At 48.2% G+C, this 21,455-nt stretch overlaps 1 protein-coding gene across 2 annotated transcripts in view, besides 1 other annotated feature; it reads right to left on the reverse strand.

The window, feature by feature from the left end:
- Positions 1 to 21,455, reverse strand: part of FAM184B (family with sequence similarity 184 member B) — a 152,316-nt gene that overhangs the window by 5,378 nt on the left and 125,483 nt on the right. For both annotated transcript variants that reach the window (NM_015688.2, XM_047450066.1), the window contains exons 11-16: positions 18,147 to 18,300; positions 12,954 to 13,108; positions 7,373 to 7,545; positions 4,567 to 4,713; positions 1,845 to 1,962; positions 326 to 430 (exon numbers count right to left, since the gene is read on the reverse strand). In NM_015688.2, coding sequence (NP_056503.1) covers positions 326 to 430; positions 1,845 to 1,962; positions 4,567 to 4,713; positions 7,373 to 7,545; positions 12,954 to 13,108; positions 18,147 to 18,300 — 852 coding nt within the window. The remainder of the gene's footprint in view (positions 1 to 325; positions 431 to 1,844; positions 1,963 to 4,566; positions 4,714 to 7,372; positions 7,546 to 12,953; positions 13,109 to 18,146; positions 18,301 to 21,455) is intronic.
- Positions 2,105 to 2,194: a silencer, noted in NCBI's record as "silent region_15312". NCBI's record gives its function as "represses an Ori minimal core promoter by ATAC-STARR-seq in GM12878 lymphoblastoid cells {active_cell/tissue: GM12878}" and the evidence as "EXISTENCE:reporter gene assay evidence [ECO:0000049][PMID:35858748]".

A 21,455-nucleotide genomic window follows, 5' to 3' on the forward strand; every position in this document is an offset into this window, starting at 1 on the left:
ATGCTCATTGTGAAAAATTCCAAAAATATGTACAGAAATAGTTAAGAAGTGGAAGATTCTTACTCTTCTCCCTCCCATCACCTAGATAGAGCTATTCTTAATACTGACACACATTTATTCTAGAAAATTTGGAAAATACAAAATCCCATAAAAAATAAAAATCACACATAATCCGCCCAGCCATAGATATAAACAAGTGGGTTTTTTTTTTCCAATGAATATTTTTCTGAGCGTACACCAGCCCTTAAATAACCTGTGGTTACCTTTAAGAAAAACGAAACCAATGGAATTGTATAATGCATTAAAACCATTAGAACCAATTTACCTTCATGGAAGGGGTCAAATATCCCGGGTGAGGATTGAAAGAGAAAGACCGATTCCGGTGGGACATGGCACTGGGGAATGCTGCGTAGTGAAATCTTCTCTCTTCCTAGAAAACCAATACAACTGAGTCTAAATGAGCCTAACCACACAGCACTGGGTTTGACTTGAAGGAAGATGGCTGTGAGGGCAGAATAGAGAAGGAAAGTCCAGGGGAGGAAGGGGAAGTCAGTGGGAATAAAGCTGCCAGGCACTGAAGCTTTTGAGGAAGCACCTTTGCTTTTTTTATGTCCCCAGCCCCTCTTGTAAAGAAAAGGGCAAGCTGATGCCTTAGGAAATTGAAAATTCAACTGTTCTTAGCATGTGAAGGTAACCTAATGCAGAAAGTTAGTAATTAAGGCAAAGAAAGAAAACCCCCAGGTATGCAAAGGATTTTGCCGCCTTTCTTCCTCTGTCTTGTTTGACATTTGTGTTGCCTAACATATACAAACATAGGGAGAGTAATGAAATCCATCCCCACTTTACCTATAATAACTATATGGCCGATCTTGTTTGTGTGTATCATTTTCCACTTTTTTCTCTCCTGCTGTATTATTACTAAATTCCAGTTATTACATAATTTTTCTCTGTAAAAACATCAGTATGTATTTCTTAGAAATAAGGATTACTTTAAAAAAAAAAAAACCCATGATACCTTTGTTCACACGTAGCAAATGAGCAATAATTCCATATCAATGTCACCTAATTTTCAAAGCACAGAGAGATACAGAAGTGAGGCAGGTGAGCAGGAGCAGAAATGACCAGCAGGCCTTGGTTGGATACTGAATCAGAGGGAGCTGGGTTCTTTCCAAGGGGCTTAGGGAGTGGCTTTGCTAAGTAGAAAACAGGTGGTCATTTTTACAAAAAGAAGATCAACAATAAAAACACTAATTCTACTACAATTCAAACCTAAGCCATTATAGATTTTCTCAAATTCTGTAAGTTAAAAAACCAATATTAACATGGGGCAAATGCTGTTGGACTTGGGAGTAAAGTGATTTTTTTTTGCCTCCTATTTTCCTGTATTAATTTTTTAGTGAGTATGTCTTCTTTAATAATAGAAAAGAAAGGAGTTTTTCTTTGAGACAGTCTTGCTCTGTCGCCCAGACTGGAGTGCAGTGGCGCTATGCTGGCTCACTGCAACCTCTGTCTCTCGGGTTCAAGTGATTCTCCTGCCTCAGCCTTCCTAGAAGCTGGAATTACAGATGCCCACAACCACACCCAGCTAATTTTTGTATTTTTAGTAGAGACAGGGTTTCAACATGGCTAGGCTGGTCCCGAACTCCTGACCTCAAGTGATCCACCCGCCTCCGCCTCCCAAAGTGCTGGGATTACAGGCTTGAGCCACCGCGCACGGCAAGAAAGGATTCTTTGTAAGATATTAGGGCACCTAGAGAAATGCTGGGTGCAAGTGAACGCCCCTCCCGGGGGAGCCCGCAGTGCCCGGCCAGGTGCGTGGGTGAGGCGCCCCCTGACAGCCTCACCGTGAGCTGCTTGATGATGTCCTCTCTCTCCTTCAGGCGGGTCTGCAGGCGGCCAATGAGCTGAAGGTCCTCGGGCCTGGACGCTCCCTTCCCTGGCTTCTCTCCGGAATCTTTCAGTCTGTTCCAAGCAGGCATGCAGTCAAGTCCCCCTTACAGCAATTACTCAACAAAGAGGGAGAACAAGTGCACACGATGGGAATGCCATCCTGTGTTCAGCCCGGCCAGGGAGGCCCAGATAGCAGCAGCGGCTTGCCCAGGGCCCCCTGGGGAGATGGCTTGCCGAACCCAGGATTCCAGCTCTGTCAGGTCCCCTGAGGCTGCAGGGCCAGGAAGCAAAGGCCCCTGTGTGCACATAGATGCTGCACTCAGCGGGGCTTCAAGAGCCAGGGATGCTGCTGGGAGAACAGACCAGGGCAGGAAAATGTCCCGTAGGTTCTCTTAATGCTCTGGCGCCATCTGCTGGCGGACATAGAGCGCGGCCAGTGGCCGGTACCTATGGCCTTTTTTTTCTTTTTTGGAGACGGAGTCTCCCTCTGTCGCCCAGGCTGCAGTGCAATGGCGCGGTCTCGGCTCTCTGCAACCTCCGCCTCCCTGGTTCAAGCGATTCTTGTGCCTCACAGCCTCCTGAGCAGCTGGTACTACAGGCGCGCGCCACCGTGCCAGGGAAATTTTTGTATTTTTAGAGGAGACGGGGTTTCACTATGTTGGCCAGGCTGGTCTGGAATTCCTGACCTCGTGATCCGCCCTCCTGGGCCTCCCAAAGTGCTGGGATTACAGGCGTGGGCCACCGCGCCCGGCCCCCACTGCTTTTTCAGCGTGAAGCCAGAGAAGAGTAACTGGGTGGTGAGGAGAGGAGGGCTGGGGGTGCAGATAATCTACTGACTGGAGTTGATAAGAGCCCAGGGCTTTGGGTGAGATGACCCGGCTCTAATACTGGCTCTTCTTTTTTCTAGATATGTGACCTTGGGCATCATTTCACCTGTGTGTGGGCCCCAGTTCCCTCTCCTTTAAAATGGGCATGAAACTGGGTGGTTGTGAGAATTCAATGTGATAATGGGAGCCTGGCATATAGTAAGTGCCCGTTAGACTGTAACTGGTAAAACCTTTCCTGCTGGCTTTTGGATGATTTGCTTTGTATTGGAGACTGGAGAAGTTTTTAAGAGCTCAGGCTAAAGGTCAGACAGGTGACATTTAAACTGAATTAATGCTGCCTGACCTTGGGCAAGTGGCTTCACCTGTTTGGACCTGGCTTGCTGCCATCACATCCTAAATGGTCTTGCTAGTCACCCCCTCCCCCTGTTTCTTCTCAGCAGTCAGAAGTGACCCTGTGAAAAGGCAAGTCAGGCCATGTCACTCCTGCCCAGTGCCTTGTGAAGGCTTCCCAGGGCACTCTGAACACATCCAAACTCCTTCCCATCAGGGCAGGAGTCCCTTCACCCAGCTCCTCTCCTCCCACTCACCCTCCCTCTCACTGATGCCTCAGGAGTGCCCTCACCTCCTTGTACTTAAACATCACCTCCTCACAGAGGCCTTGTTTTGCCCACCCTTGCCACTCCCAATCCTGTCTTCCAGCACTTTCACCGCCTGGTATGATGTTAACTGTTTGCTTTTTTTTTTTTTTTTTTTTTTTTTTTTTGAGACAGGGTCTATTTTTTTTGTTTTGTTTTGTTTTGTTTTGAGACAGAGTTTCTCTCTCTGTAGCCCAGGCTGGAGTGCAGGGGTGCAATCACAGATCACTGCAACCTCAACCTCCTGAGCTCAGACGATCCTCCCGCCTCAGCCTTCCAAGTAGCTGGGACTATAGGCACACACCACCATGCCCAGCAATTTTTTTTTTGTATTTTTTGTAGAGACGGAGTTTCACAATGTTGCCCAGGCTGGTCTCGAACTCCTGGGCTCAAGCAGTCCACCCTGGGCTCAAGCCTCAGCCATGCAAAGTGCTAGGATTACAGGCATGAGCCACCAAGCACAGCCTGTTTGCTTATTTCTTATCCGAATTCTCAGCAGAATTTGTGAGCCTATGAGAGCATTGTCTTTGTTTTGTTCCCTGCTATAACTCCAGAGCCTAAAGCAGTGCTGGGCATACAATGGGTCCTTAACAATTATTTGTTGAATGAATAAATGCAATATGTTTGCATGAGGGACCAGTGGGAATAACAATTCTAATTGAGCAGCCCTGATCCTTCTGATTTCTTCGAAGTGTGAGGGTTAAACCAATGCTCATCCTCACAAATTCCCACTGCCCTGCAGAAAAGGGGAACATAGCCTCATAAAATGAAGGGAGACTGATGAGCCCCTGGCTAGTTCCCCCCACCACACCCCGCCTCCTGCCCTGAACTTGCTCTGTTGCTGAAGCTGGAGTGCAGGGTCCTGATCTCCGTTCACTGAAAGCTCTGCCTCCTGGGCTCAAGTGATCCTCCTGCCTCAGCCTCCAGAGTAGCTGGGATTACAGGCGTGTGCCACCACACCTGTAATTTTGTATTTTCAGTAGAGATGGGGTTTCGCCATGTTGGCCAGGCTGGTCTCCATCTCCTGAGCTCAAGTGATCCACCTGCCTCAGCCTCCCAAAGTGCTGGATTCCAGGCATGAGCCACCGTGCCTGGCCAGAACCCAGGACTTTCAATTTGAAAACCAGGAAATCCCAGGGTCATTGGGGTGAGTTGGCCACCCTACTGAATGGTACATTTGCAAGACCCTCCCTGGGGCCCGAGGCCTCACTTACTCGGCTTCCAGGGCAGCCAGCCGGGCCTGGAGCTGGGCCTGGGCACTACTGAAATCTGCCACCATGGCCTGCATCTCCTTCCGGTGTTCCTGGCGCAGTGTCTCCACCTCCCTGGCCCGCTGGGCTTGCTGAGTCTCCTCCAGGAACCTGTGGTGGATGAAAGCACAGCCAGGCTTGCCCAGCTCCAGGGATGGCACCCCTTGGGCTCTGGGGTTTATTTCCCTCATCGCTGCCCAGTTTGGGAGATCTGGGTGGGGAGAAATTGTGATCTAAGGACACCTGTGGGAAGAAGAGCTGAAGTCTCTTGAGTTGTGGAGTCCAGGACAAACCCCCACTATGGGACCCCTTCTCAGCACCCTCCCATCTCAGAAGGAGAAACCTGAGCATGGGGACAGACTTCAGGTGGAAGTGATGGAGAGCAGCCCTGCAGGGGAGCCCCAGAAAACACACTCTTCACTTGGGACAGGCGGGGAGGCAAGAGGCTGAGATTCTCTATCAGTATGGCCTGAACGCTGGGACTCTGAGACCTGGGAGACCAGGTCTTCCCTAACAACTACACTGCAGTGGAAAGCCTCCCTGAACTTTTTTTTTTTTTTGAGACGGAGTCTTGCTCTTGTTGCTCAGGGTGGAGTGCAATGGCACGATCTCGGCTCACTGCAACCTTCACCTCCCGGGTTCAAGCAGTTCTCCTGCCTCAGCCTCCCAAGTGGCTGGGATTACAGGCGCCCAGCACCAGGCCCAGCCAATTTTTTGTATTTTTAGTAAAGACGGGGGGTTTCACCATGTTGGCCAGGCTAGTCTCGAACTCCTGACCTCGGGTGATCCATGCGCTTCAGCCTCCCAAAGTGCTGGGATTACACGCGTGAGCCACCACACCTGGCCACTCCCTGAATCTTTATCCCTCACCTTTATCAAAAGAAGTGGTTATGAAAATTAAATTGGGCTGGGTGCGGTGGCTCACATCTGTAATCCCAGCACTTTGGGAGGCCAAGGCGGGAGGATCACGAGGACAGGAGTTCGAGACCAGCCTGACCAACATGGTGAAACCTCGTCTCTACTAAAAATACAAAAAAAAAAAAAAAAAATTAGCTGGGCATGGTGGTGTCCGCCTGTAATCCCAGCTACTCAGGAGGCTGAGGCAGAAGAATCACTTGAACCTGGGAGGTGGAGGTTGCAGTGAGCCGAGATGGCACCACTGCACTCCAGCCTGGGCAAAAGAGCAAGACTGTCTCAAAAAAAAAAAAAAGAAAATAAATGAACAAGCACAGTCAAGGCTCAAAGCAATTTTGGGCCAACACAACAGGGTTCAGTGTACACAGCTGACAAATATTAAAAAAAAGGAATCCTCCAGACATTAAAATGACAAAAAAAATTATGAGCAATTTTATGATTGGCATTAGGACATTCAAAAACTTGGATGAAATAGACGAATTCTTTGAAAGATACAAACTGCTAAAGCTCACTTAAGAAATAGATAATATGAAATATCCTGTGTCTTTAAAGAAATTGAATTTGTATTAAAAGCTTTCCAACAAGAGGAAGAAAGGCTCTGAGTTCAGGATTGATGATAGGTTTTTCACTTCTACAATTAACCAAGCGTTTCATTCATGCTAGGGACATGCCAAGCCTCCTGCACACATTCCATTGCACTCTACAACAGCCCTGACAGGCCAGGTTTTTTGTTTTGTTTGTTTTGTTTTTTGAGACAGATTGTGGCTCTGCCGCCCAGGCTGAAGTGCAGTGGCCCGATCTCAACTCAGTGCAACCTCCACCTCCCAGGCTCAAGCAATCCCCCCTCACCAACCTCCCGAGTAGCCGGGACTGCAGGCATGCACCACCACGCTTGGCCAATTTTTCTATTTTTAGTAGAGACGGGGTTTCACTATGTTGCCCAGGCTGGTCTTGGACTCCTGACCTCAAGTGATGTGCCTGCCTCAGCCTCCCAAAGTACTGGTATTACAGGCGTGAGCTACCACGCCAGCCGAGGCTGGAGTCTTATCCCCATTTTACAGAGGACTCAGTCTGGGAGAGGTCAGCTAACTCACCCAACCTCACACAGCTAATTAAGAGCGCACAGCTAGTTAAGAAGACACCGCATGGTCTGAACTATTCCACTACACCGTCTCCGTAAGGTTGGATTTGATGACACTTTTGGTCCAATTCTCAGTCTCATAAATGCCCTGATTTGCAGGGAAACAAACAGGACTCCCTCTTTTTTTTTTTTTTTTTTTTTTTTTTTTTTTTTTTGAGACGGAGTCTTGCATTGTCGCCCAGGCTGGAGTGCAATGGCGCGATCTTGGCTCACTGCAACCTGGTCCTCCCGAGTTCACGCGATTTTCCTGCCTCAGCCTCCCGAATAACTGGGATTACAGGCACACACCACCACGCCCGGCCTTTTTTTTTTTTTTTTTTTTTTTTTTTTGTATTTTTAGTGGAGACAGGGTTTCATCATGTTGTCCAGGCTGGTCTCGAATTCCTGACCTCGTGATGCGCCCGCCTCTGCCAACCAAAGTGCTGGGATTACAGGCGTGAGCCACCGCGCCCAGCCAGACTCCCTCTTTTATTTCAAGGCACTTCCTCTGCGGTTTTGAGATCCAGAATTTCTGGAGCTCTGGGACTTTTCATGGGTCAGAGGAGTAACATCTGTGAAATGCTGGCGCATTCAGTGTCTAGTGTCTTGTGGGGCAGGATGCCGAGGCAGTGACCCATTTCAGGTCTCAGGCTCAGCCAGCCGCAGTAGGGGGAGGGGGGGTGGCGGGGTAGGGGGTGAGGGTGGCGCGGTGGCGGGGCGCGCCGGGTCACCCACCTGCGCTGGTCTCGGAGCTTCTGCGCCTCCTGCTGATGCTGCTCCACCTCCGCGCGCAGCCGCCGCACCGCGTCCTGGAGCTGCGCGTTCTCCTCCCAGAGCCCGCATCCCTCGCCGGAACCCTGCCCAGCAGCGCCCGGTGGGGAGCCGGCCTGGCCCGGGCCGCCCCGCTCCTGAGGAAGGCAACCAGGAGAGGTGTTTTCAGGAGGCGCAGGGGCAGACAAGGCAGAAAGGGCCAGAGATGTGCTGCGGCGAGATGGAGACCCACTGGCACCCCGCCCAGGCTGGAGCCTGTGGCAGGCTCCTGAGTTCCCTGCAGGGACTCCCATCTAGTCTCTTAAAAAATTTCCTCCTTTGGGAGTTGGCCAAATCTGGCCCTTAGAGTTTAATAAAACTGCTGAGCTAAGAATGGGTCTTGCATCCAAATGAACACCAACCACACTCCACACTCCACCTGCCAGGGTGCCCTCCATGCCTGCCTCAGTGAAGTCTTCCCTCCGTGAAGTTAAGTGTTCAGTGAAGTGATACTGCCTCAGTGAAGTCTTCCCTACCTCTCAGGGGGAACTGATAAGCTTTCTCTAATACCACCAAATCTTGCTAACTCTGGCTCTGTAAGGGGTGACACTGAAGAGAATATGTGTCCATGCTGGTTTCCTTGGCTAGATTGGGAGCTATTCCTCTCTTCATCTTTCCAACCCTGTAGCACCTAGCCTGGTGTATTCTATAGGTGCCACGTGAATGCTTGCTAAACAGAATTGTGCTAGAATGTCTGTAGTTCAGGTAGAAACACAAAAATTGCTGTCCAACAGCAAATGGAGTCAGATTTAATCTGTGATTAGTGAATGTTCCAGTTTTCAAATTCACTCAAACATGCCCGACCACTTGTGCATGTATTAGTTCACTGCACACAGTAATTGCACAGCTGTGCACGGGGAGAATCTGTGGCCCAGGCCCCATGTCTCTGCCTTCCTGCTCTGGGGTTGGCATGATGTGGGATGCCCGTGGGCACCCACTTGGCACTCTCACATGCATAGCCTGGAAGAGCAAGAGCAGGGGGGTTACTGCTCTGTGGGGACAATCCTTGACCAATGGAGGACAGAAACAGATGGAAAAATGCATTCCCCTCTTGGGTCTCTGGGTGGGAGAGATATGAGAATTAGATCCCAGTAGGACAGACTCCACTTAGCTCAGCGGTGGCCAGCTTGGGCCTGCAGCCTGGCATTGTGTCCCCTCCCCTTTCCTTTTTGACTCCTGCTGCCTGGGCTGTTCCTCTTTGCCGACACCCCTGCATCTCCTCTCTGTGTGGGGTATCACCTGAGACCACACTTTCCTTCTAGAGGGTTCAGGGCTTCCCTCCTATGGGGCAAAGGTGAGGGCTGGTGCATGGGTGGCCACGTATCGGCTCATGTACTCAGTGCTCCTTGGCTTCTATCCAGAGCCCTCAGGTGAACACTGACTCCCTCCATGGCCCAGTCCCCAGCTGTCTCCATCCCACATTTCCCGTCCCCTCCCATTGGTACCAGTGGCTCCCACCCATCTAAACACTTAATGGAACACGTTCTGTCTTCCCTCTGCTAGACCTAACCACTGGGCTAACCTGTGATTCATCATTTGTTAATATTTTTCACATAAACACAGAAATTGCCTTCCTATGCTCAGCAACAGCTAAATCTGGCACACATGATTCCCATGTCCCCCGGTCCTTCAGCAGGACTGGCCACCAATGAATCCTCACCACCCACAGGCACTGGTGGAGACCCTGCTGAGGGCTGGGAGTGGGGGTGGGGAGGCGATGAGGCAGGCAGACAGGTTATCCTCAAAAGACTCCTGATCCAGTCTAGGCAACAAGGACATCTATGAAATGGCATGTCCCCAACAGGACCGGGCGGTAGATCCTAGAGCCAGCTGAGCTGTCTTGACAACAAGTGCTCCAGGATCTCAGAGCCAGAGGGGGCCACTGTGTGCCAGGGAAGGCCCCCAGCATGAGATATGCTGGGCAGCATCTCAGGCAGGAGGAGTGGCACAGGCGAAGGCCAAAGGGAGGGTGCAGATGCCGGGTTTATGAGCCGCAGGGAATATGGCAGGACATACAGGTCATAATCAGTGGTGGAAGCTTTTCAATGCCAAGTTGAAGCATTTGGAGCTTTCTCCAATGGGAACCACCAAAGGCTTTATGAAAAGTGATGCTGGTCATCCTAATACCAAAGCCTGGCAGAGACACAACAAAAAAAGAGAACTTTAGACCAATATCCCTGATGAACATTGATGTAAAAATCCTCAATAAAAGACTGGCAAACCAAATCCAGCAGCACATCAAAAAGCTTATCCACCATGATCAAGTGGGCTTCATCCCTGGGATGCAAGGCTGGTTCAATATACACAAATCAATAAACATAATCCAGCATATAAACAGAACCAACGACAAAAACCACATGATTATCTCAATAGATGCAGAAAAGGCCTTTGACAAAATTCAACAGCCCTTCATGCTAAAAACTCTCAATAAATTAGGTATTGATGAGATGTATCTCAAAATAATAAGAGCTATTTATGACAAACCCACAGCCAATATCATATACTGAATGGGCAAAAACTGGAAGCATTCCCTTTGAAAACTGGGACAAGATAGGGATGCCCTCTCTCACCACTCCTATTCAACATAGTGTTGGAAGTTCTGGCCACGGTAATCAGGCAGGAGAAAGAAGGGGTATTCAATTAGGAAAAGAGGAAGTCAAATTGTCCCTGTTTGCAGACGACATGATTGTATATCTAGAAAACCCCATTGTCTCAGCCCAAAACCTCCTTAAGCTGATAAGCAACTTCAGCAAAGTCTCAGGATACAAAATCAATGTGCAAAAATCACAAGCATTCTTATACACCAATAACAGACAAACAGAGAGCCAAATCATGAGTGAACTCCCATTCACAATTGCTTCAAAGAGAATAAAATACCTAGGAATCCAACTTACAAGGGATGTTTAGGATCTCTTCAAGAACTACAAACCACTGCTCAACAAAATAAAAGAGGATACAAACAAATGGAAGAACATTCCATGCTCATGGATAGGAAGAATCAATATTGTGAAAATGGCTATACTGCCCAAGGTAATTTATAGATTCAATGCCATCCCCATCGAGCTACCAATGACTTTCTTCACAGAATTGGAAAAAACTAAAGTTCATATGGATCCAAAAAAGAGCCTGCGTCGCCAAGTCAATCCTAAGCCAAAAGAACAAAGCTGGAGGCATCATGCTACCTGACTTCAAACTATACTACAAGGCCACAGTAACCAAAACAGCATGGTACTGGTACCAAAACAGAGATATAGACCAATGGAACACAACAGAGCCCTCAGAAATAATACCACATATCTGCAACTATCTGATCTTTGACAAACCTGACAAAAACAAGAAATGGGGAAAGGATCCCCTATTTAATAAATGGTGCTGGGAAAACTGGCTAGCCATATGTAGAAAGCTGAAACTGGATCCCTTCCTTACACCTTATACAAAAATTAATTCAAGATGGATTAAAGACTTAAATGTTAGACCTAAAACCATAAAAACCCTAGAAGAAAACCTAGGCATTACCATTCAGGACATAGGCATGGGCAAGGACTTCATGTCTAAAACACCAAAAGCAATGGCAACAAAAGCCAAAATTGACAAGTGGGATCTAATTAAACTAAAGAGCTTCTGCACAGCAAAAGAAACTACCATCAGAGTGAACAGGCAACCTACAGAATGGGAGAAAATTTTTGCAATCTACTCATCTGACAAAGGGCTAATATCCAGAATCTACAAAGAACTCAAACAAATTTACAACAAAAAAACAAACAACCCCATCAACAAGTGGGTGAAGGATATGAACAGACACTTCTCAAAAGAAGACATTTATGCAGCCAAAAGACACATGAAAAAAATGCTCATCATCACTGGCCATCAGAGAAATGCAAATCAAAACCACAATGAGATACCATCTCACACCAGTTAGAATGGTGATCATTAAAAAGTCAGGAAACAACAGGTGCTGGAGAGGATGTGGAGAAATAGGAACACTTTGACACTGTTGGTGGGACTGTAAACTGGTTCAACCATTGTGGAAGACAGTGTGGTGATTCCTCAAGGATCTAGAACTAGAAATACCATTTGACCCAGCCATCCCATTACTGGGTATATACCCAAAGGATTATAAATCATGCTGCTATAAAGACACATGCACACGTATGTTTACTGCAACACTATTCACAATAGCAAAGACCTGGAACCAACCCAAGTGTCCAACAATGATAGACTGGATTAAGAAAATGTGGCACATATACACCATGGAATACTATGCAGCCATAAAAAAGGAATGAGTTCATGTCCTTTGTAGGGACATGGATGAAGCTGGAAACCATCATTCTCAGCAAAATATCAGAAGGACAAAAAACCAAACACCACATGTTCTCACTCATAGGTGGGAATTGAACAATGAGAACACTTGGACACAGGAAGGGGGACATCACACACCGGGGACTGTTGTGGGGTGGGGGTAGTGGGGAGGGATAGCATTAGGAGATATACCTAATGTAAATGACGAGTTAATGGGTGCAGCACACCAACATGGCACATGCACACATATGTAACAAACCTGCACATTGTGCACATGTACCCTAGAACTTAAAATATAATAATAATAAAAAAAGAAAAGAAAGTGATGCTGGGCTTTGGGAGAATAGCTGAAGCTGTACGTTATGGACTGGAGGGAGAGAGGGCTGGGCTGTTAGGAGGTGACTGCCACCCAGCTAGACCAGGAATGATGGATGTGCAGGGAAGGGGCTGATGGGCAAAGTCTGAGCAGGAAGAGGAAAGAGAGTTGGCACTGAGCCTGGGTGACAACAAAGCTGCTCCACTTAGGGGAACAGCAAGGTCTAGATGGAGCCTGTCTGGTAAAATGTTCTGAGAAATTCAAAATGTTCTGCAGATCCAGAGGAGTAGCCCAGACCAGCTGCATCGAGGGCCTATCTAGCACCAACACCCTGAGATACCATTGCGTCTGAATTATAAATAACATGCAGCACTTAAAACCTTTTTTTTTTTCTTTTCGAAGACAAGACCCTGCAGGCCCACCAAGTATCCCACAGGCCTGTGGAGAAGGGTCTTCCCCACTTCGGGCAGGGGGGAGGGGAATGACCAAGTACCCAGAGCCCATCCCTTTTTTTTTTTTTTTTTTGAGACAGGGTCTTGCTATGTTGCCCAGGCTAGAGTACTGTGGCACAATCATAGCTCACCACAGCCTGGAACTCCTGGTCAAGTGATCCTCCTGCCTCAGACTCCCGAGCCAGTATTACAGGCATATGCCACCACGCCCAGCTAATTTTCAATTTTTTTTTGTAGAGATATAGTCTTGCTATGTTGCCCTGGCTGGTCTTGAAATCCTGGCCTCAAGTGGTTCTCTGGCTTTGGCCTCCCAAAGTGCTAGATTCCAAGTGTGAGCCACTGCACTCAGCCTCAGAGCCCATCCTTTATGGGGCTTCTTACTGCGGCCCTGATGCTGCTCTGGGAGGGGTATTGCTGGTGCAAGGGCGGGGGCACTGACCTCTGTGGCGATTATGTGATCCTTGCTGTCTCCTGGACACTGGCTGCTGGCTTGCTGTCTGCCCAGAGCCCTCAGCTCGGCCTGCAGTGCCTCCAAGTCCTTCTGGTGCCCAGAACAGGCAGCTTGCTGCTCCGACAGCTCCTGTCTGAGCGACTCTGGAAAAGGGAGAGCAGCAGTGAGTTAGGCGTTGGGTCTAGGCTGAAGCCTGTGTCATGGGGACAACAGTCTCTGGGGTGGGGTTGGATGACGTGGGTGGCTGCTGAAGGCTTGTGGTGGGTTAGGTTCCCCAAACCTTTTCCAAGGTAACAGTAACAACAGGGCCATGTGTGAAAACTGTTCTCATTTAAGTCCCACCACCAACTTTTCTGGTATGAATTATCCCCCACCCCCGCTTCATTTTAGGATGAGGGACCTGAGCATCAGAGAGGGTGAGCACAATGCCCAAAGCCACACAGCTATTAAATGGTGGAGTTGAGATGCAAAATTTCAAGTGGTTCTTCACTCTGAACCCCGTGCTTGCCCTCTACTGGTTGGTTAGGATGGGTGGCAGGTGTGGGCAGCATGGCCTGAGCCCAGGGCATTCTGTGACAACGCTTGGCCTCAGCATCAAGTTAGGAGGCCAGGCAAAGAACAGGAAATTATCAAATGACCGAAAAGGCCTCTTCTGGGGGCGATGGTCTCAAGTTGGAAATTTTGAAATTTATGTCAACTCTTTTTTATTTTTTTTTGAGATGGAGTCTCGGTTTGTTTCCCAGGCTGGAGTGCAGTGACACGATCTCGGCTCACTGCAGCCTCCACCTCCCAGGTTCAAGCAATTCTCCTGCCTTAGCCTCCGGAGTAGCTGGGACCAGGCAAGCACCACCACACCTGGCTAATTTTTGTATTTTTTTTTTTTTTAGTAGAGATGGGGTTTCACCATTTTGGCCAGGCTGGTCTCGAACTCCTGACCTCAAGTGATCCACCCACATTAGCCTCCCAAAGTGCTGGGATTATAGCGCGTGAGCCACAGTACCCGGCCAATATCCTCTTAAGACAAAATGTTCACAGGTTCTTCTTTCCACTGGTGTGGGGTCTTGGCTGGATCATGGAGGTAGGAGATGGCATGTCATCCCAGCAGGATAGGGACTAAAATGGAATCATCCAGGAGAGATGTGTACGTTCTCTTAAACTCAGGGGAGAGTAAGGCCAGAAACTCGAGCTTCCAACTCCAGCTTCCCCTCTGAGGATGGAGACTGATTTCTAGTACACTAGACACTTCCCGGCATGATTGAAACAATTATTTCAAAATGAATATTTTCTGATAGAGCAGATGCTATTTAGTGAGATATTCCTTTTAAAAAAGATACTTTTTAAGTGCTTGTAAATTTGATACTTCACTTTTCTGTAATGAGCTTTTGAGACTCTGTATTTTAGTTATTGAAAATAACCTTTGAAACATTGTTCTGATCATTCCATAAGCACCTAGCACAGGTTTTAGTACAGAGCAAGTGCTCAACATATATTTGTAAAATAAACAAATGATCTTTAGAGTGAAAATGGATGAGGTGATAAAAGTGTATTCATTATAAAAGCTTTCCTATAAGCTTACTAACCTTCCCTCAAAGGTTAACTATATTAAGCACATGTAAAAGCATAGTGTATTTGGATGATATTAAGATGAAAAATTGGCCAGGCGTGGTGGCTCATGCCTGAAATCCCAGCACTTTGGGAGGCCGACGTGGGTGGATCACGAGGTCAGGAGATCGAGACCATACTGGCTAACATGGTGAAACCCCGTCTCTACTAAAAATACAAAAAATTAGCCAGGCGTGGTGGCAGGTGCCTGTAGTCCCAGCTACTCAGGAGGCTGAGGCAGGAGAATGGTGTGAACCCGGGTGGTGGGACTTGCAGTGAGCTGAGATCACACCACTGCACTCCAGCTTGGGTGACAAAGCAAGACTCCATCTCAAAAAAAAAAAAAAAAATTTACTTCGTAATCTTTCCAGCAGAATTTTGATAAAGTGATTTCTATAGCTTATTTTCTTAAAAAAAAATCCAAACATAACCCCATTTTTTGAAAACTGTTATCACAAGATATATGCAATAAAACTCTTTACCAAATCATAAATTATAGGGTATTCATTCTTTACCCTCCTCTCTCATACCTTCCCACCATTCATCTATCCATCTACCTATCCATCCTTCTATCCACCTGTCCATCCATCCACCTGTCCATCCATCCATCCACCCACTCATCCATCCATCCACCCATCTATCTGTCTACCCATCTGTCCATCCATTCATCCATCCACTGATCCACCCATTGGTTGCCCACCCAATCATCCACCCATCCGTGTGTCCACCCATTGGTTGCCCACCCAATCATCCACCCATCCATCTGTGTGTCCACCCATTTGTCTGCCCAACCATCTGCCCATCCACACATCTCCATTTGTCTGTCTGTCCATCCATCCATCCATCCTTCCTCCTGTCCATCCATCCACTCATTTTTCTGTCCCTCCACCTGTCCACCCAACTACCCATCCACCCACACCCCCATCCACTTGTCCATCCATCCATCCATCCATCCATCTAGCATGTCTAGGTCCCAACCCTCTAGTAAACACCCACCCTCCCTGCCCTCTCACAGGGACCTATAGTATTGCAGGTCAGTTGTGTCTCACACAGATATAAGAAGAAGAATAATCAGCATCAGGAATATCTCATATCAACCTGCCATTACTGTAGGTGCTTGCACCTTCCCTTGAAGCCTATGATTTGTTGTCATCACAGAGTCCACAAAGCCCCTTCTTCTTGGGACTGGTGCTGAGAAGCCCAGCCTTTCCCCAGGGTCTTTCCAGGGATCTCTCCTGATTCTTTTCTTTGGGGAAGAATGGGGCTGCTGTGGAGTCAGAAAAGCCAGGGAAGGGGTGGCAGGGACAGCTGCACTGGCAGCTGCTGCTGGGTGTTGGAATCACCAGGATGTCCAGCCTGACCTGTACATGGGGAGCCTTGGACCTGAGCCATGTGGCACAGCCTGGGTTCTATCTTTACATGCTGCTAACTTCAGCATTTCCCATGTAGGCACCTCCATTCCAGGGTAGCTGCTAACTGGGAAGTCTACGAAACTCTTTCCTTCCTGCTCCTCACACCACTTCCTCAGAAACATGCAGTCAGTGGGACACGCTTTCTAATGAGAACTCAACCAAGCAGCAAGGTAGAGCCTAACTCACTTATGGAGGTAAAGAAAATGCTGTCCTCCAGAATTCTCTTTTTACTTTTCCTAATTTTTTTTTTTAAAGAGATGGGGGTCTTGCTATGTTGTCCAGGCTGGTCTTGAACTACTGACCTCACGTGATCCTCTCTCACCTTGGCCTCCCAAAGTGCTGAGACTACAGGCATGAGCCACCACACTCAGCACCCAGAAATCTCTTAAGGAGAGCCCTGTCTAGGTTTGGAAGAAATACTTAATAAAGCCAACATGATCTTTAGTGCTCAGCATGAAATGGTGAGAGGTTATTTGTCTTGCTCTTAAGAGTAAGAAAGATGACAGTAAAGGAGAAAATGAGGGACAGGGATGATCTACAAAAATGAGAGAGGTCTCCAGAATCAGGCATACAACATTGAAATATTCAGTCATGGCCGGGCGCAGTGGCTCACGCCTGTAATCCCAGCACTTTAGGAGGCTGAAGTGGGTGGATCACGAGGTCAGGAGATCGAGACCATCCTGGCTAACACGGTGAAACCTCGTCTCTACTAAAAATACAGAAAAATTAGCCGGGCGTGGTGGCGGGCGCCTGTAGTCCCAGCTACTCGGGAGGCTGAGGCAGGAGAATGGTGTGAACCCAGGAGGCGGAGCTTGCAGTGAGCTGAGATCATGCCACTGCACTCCAGCCTGGGCGACAGAGCAAGACTCTGTCTCAAAAAAAAAAAAAAAAAAAAAAAAAAGAAGAAAAGAAACATTCAGTCATAATGTAACAGGGAACACTTAGATAGACTTACTGCATACCAGGCTCTATTTGAAGCACTTCTCATGCATTTACTCAAGTAATTGTCATTACAGCCCAGTGAAGTGAATGCTATTATTATCCTCATTTTAGAGATGGGAGACTGAGGTACAGAGCAGTTAAGCAAATTCCTACCCAAAGTTACACAGCTAGTGAGTGTTAGAGCTGGGCTTCACACCCAGGCAGTTTGGCTCTAGAGATCTTTACCTCTGTTAACTTCGAAGATGCTGTGTGTGAGTGGTTTTATTGATGTGGCAACTGAAAAGGGGGAGAGTTTTGTGCTGGGGATGATGTGGGGGCAGGCAGAGGAAGCAGAGCCTGGAGGCCTAAGATCCTCCAATTTGCCGAAATCTTCAGAACAGAAATGAGAGGTTGAGGCAATGCCATGAAACTCATATGAAGGCTCAGAGATCTGGGTTACATGCAATAATAATGATGATGATGATAATGATAGTATCTACATTCACTGGGCTCCTGTTATATGCTAGACACTTTATATTTAATATCTTTTTTTTTTTTTTTTTTTGAGTCTTGCACTGTCGCCCAGGCTGGAGTGCAGTGGCGCCATCTCGGCTCAGTACAAGCTCTGCCTCCCGGGTTCACGCCATTCTCCTGCCTCAGCCTCCCGAATAGCTGGGACTACAGACACCTGCCACCACGCCCGGCTAATTTTTTGTATTTTTAGTAGAGACGGGGTTTCACTGTGTTAGCCAGGATGGTCTCTATCTCCTGACCTTGTGATCCACCCGCCTCAGCCTCCCAAAGTGCTGGGATTACAGGCGTCAGCCACCACACCCGGCCTTTATGTTTAATATCTCATTTAATCCACACAGTGAGCCTATGAGGTAGGGACAACTGTAATTCAATTTTATACAAAAGGAAAATGAGACTCACAGTAAGCCATCCCAGGTTTCACAGCTAGTTGGTGGCAGAGCCAGGATTGTCCCTGACATGTGTGCCTGAGATTCCTGGAGCCCTGGCCTGTGAGCCCGAGACCCCTGGAGCCCTGGCCTGTGTGCCTGAGAGCCTGGAGCCCTGGCCTGTGAATCTGAGAGCCCTGGAGCCCTGGCCTGTGAGCCTGAGATTCCCGGAGCCGTGGCCTGTGAGCCCGAGAACCCTGGAGCCCTGGCCCTCAGCTTGTCTCTGGTTTCTACATGCAGACCCTGCAGTTGGCCAGGCCCTCCTCAGTACACTATTGGGTGTATACCTAGCAGCAGGGCCTGCTGTGCCTGCATCCTCTCACGCTCCTCCTGCAGCTCTTGCCTGGCCTTTTCCTCCAAGGCCTGGAGCTCCAGTCGGTGTGTCTGGTGTTGGATCTGGAGGCTGTGGCTGGATTCCTTCTTCAAGCGTTCCTCTGTGGCCTGTGGGAAAAAGTGGGAACAAGAAGGCATGAAAGTGGGCATGAGGGTGGGAGACCTGACTCCTTTGCCAAGCTCTTCTGAGCCAGGATGCTCTGAACACTCGCACTCTCCCATGGAGGGCTTATCAGGCTACAGAGAATGCTGTAGCAATGGCCTGGCCACAGCAGCCATTTTGCACCAGGTGAACCACCTCCTTCCACAGCTGATTGGGCCAGAGTGGACACCTGTTCTAACCTGGGCCAATCAAAGTTCCTTTAATGTAAATTTGACATGAAGAGGTGGGAGATAGAGCAAAAGAGACTGACAGACAGATACTGACTCTGTGGCTCCAAATTTACCATACTCAGGAGCACTAAGGTAACTATCTGACATCTGCCCCAGGACTAGTGTGGTGATGGCTGCTGTCTGTGGAGGAAGCCCAGGGCTGGTGTGCACAGCAGAGCAGAATGACATAGGGAAGGGTGAGGGGTCCCTACAGCTTTTCAGTCCATGCTCTTGTTTGGTCCTGAGAACTGTCTGTGTCTCTGTCCTTGGGTTCATATTCATTCATTCTTTTTTTCCCTACTTTTTATTTTTGGTTCATTCACGCTTTCACTCAACAAACATTTATTTACTGAAGTCCCACTGTGTGTCAAACACCCAAAGCAAGTTCTGTGAGCAGCTGGGTAAACTTTAATAAGTGTCTCTTCACTGCCTGCCTAACTTCACTCAAGCTGGTTTCTGTGAGAGGCACAAAAACAACCCCTAAGATGTCCATGTCTGAAAACTGAGTATGTTACCTTACATGGTCAAAGGGACTTTGCAGATGTGATTAAGGATCTTAGATGGGAGATTATCCTGAAATATCTGGGTGGGCCTCAATCACAAGGGTCCTTATAAGAGGGCCGTAGGAGGCTCAGTGAGAAAAGAGTTGATGGTGGAAGCAGAGGTCAGAGAGGGAGGGGGAGGGGGATTTGAAGCTGCTACACTTTTGGCTTTGATAATGCAGGAAGGGACCAGAAGCCACGGAACTCAGGCGGCCTCTAGAAGGTGGAAAAGGCAAGGACACAGATTCTCCTCTGGAGTCTTTAGAAGGAACCAGCCCTGCCAATTCCTTGATTTTTGGATTTCTGACCTCTAGAATTGTCAGATAATAAATCTGTGTTGTTTTAAGCCACCAGGCTTGTGCTAATTTGTTACAGCAGCAATAGGAAACTAATATAGTTTCTGCTTTTTTTTTTTTTTCCAGTTAGCAGAGTTCCAGTTAATATATATCCCCAGGTTTTAGATGAGGAAATGAGAGATGGGCATTGGAGAGATGAATTTGGTTTCCCAGGGTCACACAGAAAAAGATATGGAAATTATTATCCCCTCATCTTTTTAAACTCTTTTTTATATATATATAGAGGGAGGGTCTCACTATGTTACCCAGCTGGTCTCAAATTCCGAAGCTCAAGCAATCCTCCTGCCTCAGCCTCCCGAAGTGTTGAGATTGCAGGCATGAGCCACCACGCCCCAGCACCCGCCCCTGCTGCCATATTTTTCAACAGAGCAGGAAACTGGGGCTAGAAAGGCAGGGAACCTGCCTGCAGAGAGGTGATGGAAGAGGCAGGATTGTGACCCATGAGTGATGGAGTCCAGGGCCCAAGCCCTTTCCACTCACTCATGCAGTGGGCATTTCACCAAATTTCCTCTGGGATTTCACCAAATGCATGAGGCTCCTGTGAGGGAAGAATTCAACCACCTTTGAGCCCAAGTTGGCCTCCCAAACCCAGCGGGTCATGTGGAAGCTTTCCTCAGCCTGTCTCTGCCACCTGTCACCGGGGATAGCAATAGGGAACTGGTCTCACTCCTCCCAGGGGAAACGCAGTCATTCTGTGCCAAATGTCTTTTTCTTTTTCTTTTTTTGAGACGAGGTCTCACTCTGTTGCCCAGCTGGAGTGCAGCGGCGCAATCATGGCTCACCTCAGCCTTGACCTCCTGGGCCCAAGTCATCCTCCCATCTCAGCGTCTTGAGTAGCTGAGACCACAGATGCTCACTACTCCACCTGGCTAATTTTTTTTGTAGTGCTTAGTTCTCCCTATGTTGCCCAGGCTAACCTCAAACTCCTGGCCTCAAGTGATCCTCCCGCATTGGCCTCCCAAAGTTCTGGGATTACAGGCGTGAGCCACCATGCCTGATTGCGAGTTTATTTAATAAAACAGAAAAGGCTCATACTTTTCAAATTCTCTGATACCTTCCTCCTCTTTCCCTTGCTGCAAGGCTCAGAGAACACCAATTGGTGACATGTTTATCCCCAGGGAAATGGGGATGGAGAGGTTGAAGCCTGGCTTTGCAAGACGGAGCCAAACTCTCTCACTCTGACCCAGCCTCTCTCCATCCCTGGGGGCAAGTAAAGGTTCAGGTCAGCACTGCCCACTCACTTGCTCAGGAGCCCTTGGCAGTGAGGATCACACAGGGTGCAGCACTCAGGGCTCAGGGCAAATTGGAGACTCATTCCTGGTGAATTTCTCCAGCTGCTATGGGAGGGTTACCCTGCTCTTGTTGTGGCCAGTTTGGGGCCTCCTGAGGGACCTAGTTTCACCCTGTCTCTCCAAAAGTCCTATATTATGTAAAGTCTCCATTCCCAGTGCTTCCAAATACCTTAGACAACTCCCTCATGGCTTCCACCCACTGATCCCAGCAACCTGTTTGAGGGGCTGCCTTTTCCCCTAGAGGTAAGCTACGTAAGGACACATAGTGTAGTGATCATCTGGTATCTCTGCAGCTCTGCGTGATGGCAGCTCGTGGTAGCTACTCAGTGAATGCCTGCAGAATAGATGAGTGAACAATAAAAGTGAACCTTTTAAAAACCAAGCTGTTACTCAGCCATGCACTGTTCTAAGTACTTTACATGCAGTGTCCCTTTTGATCTTCATAACCATCTCATAAGATTCATACTACCATCTATCATTTTATAAATGAGGAAACTGAGGCACAAAGAACCTAATGACCTATCCGAGCTCCCACACTTTGTAAATGGCAGATCCAGGACTTGAACCCAGGCAGCCCATTCCTACTCGCCGACACAGGAACTGGGGCTTATACCCGATGGGCAGAGTGTCCTTTCACTTTCCTTTGGCCGGGACTCAGACCTCATGGGTCCAACCCCCTAGAGCCCCTGGAACTCCCCGCC

The sequence above is a fragment of the Homo sapiens genome, chromosome 4 (assembly GCF_000001405.40).
Source record: "Homo sapiens chromosome 4, GRCh38.p14 Primary Assembly".
In the NCBI taxonomy this organism is placed as follows: Eukaryota; Metazoa; Chordata; class Mammalia; order Primates; family Hominidae; genus Homo; species Homo sapiens.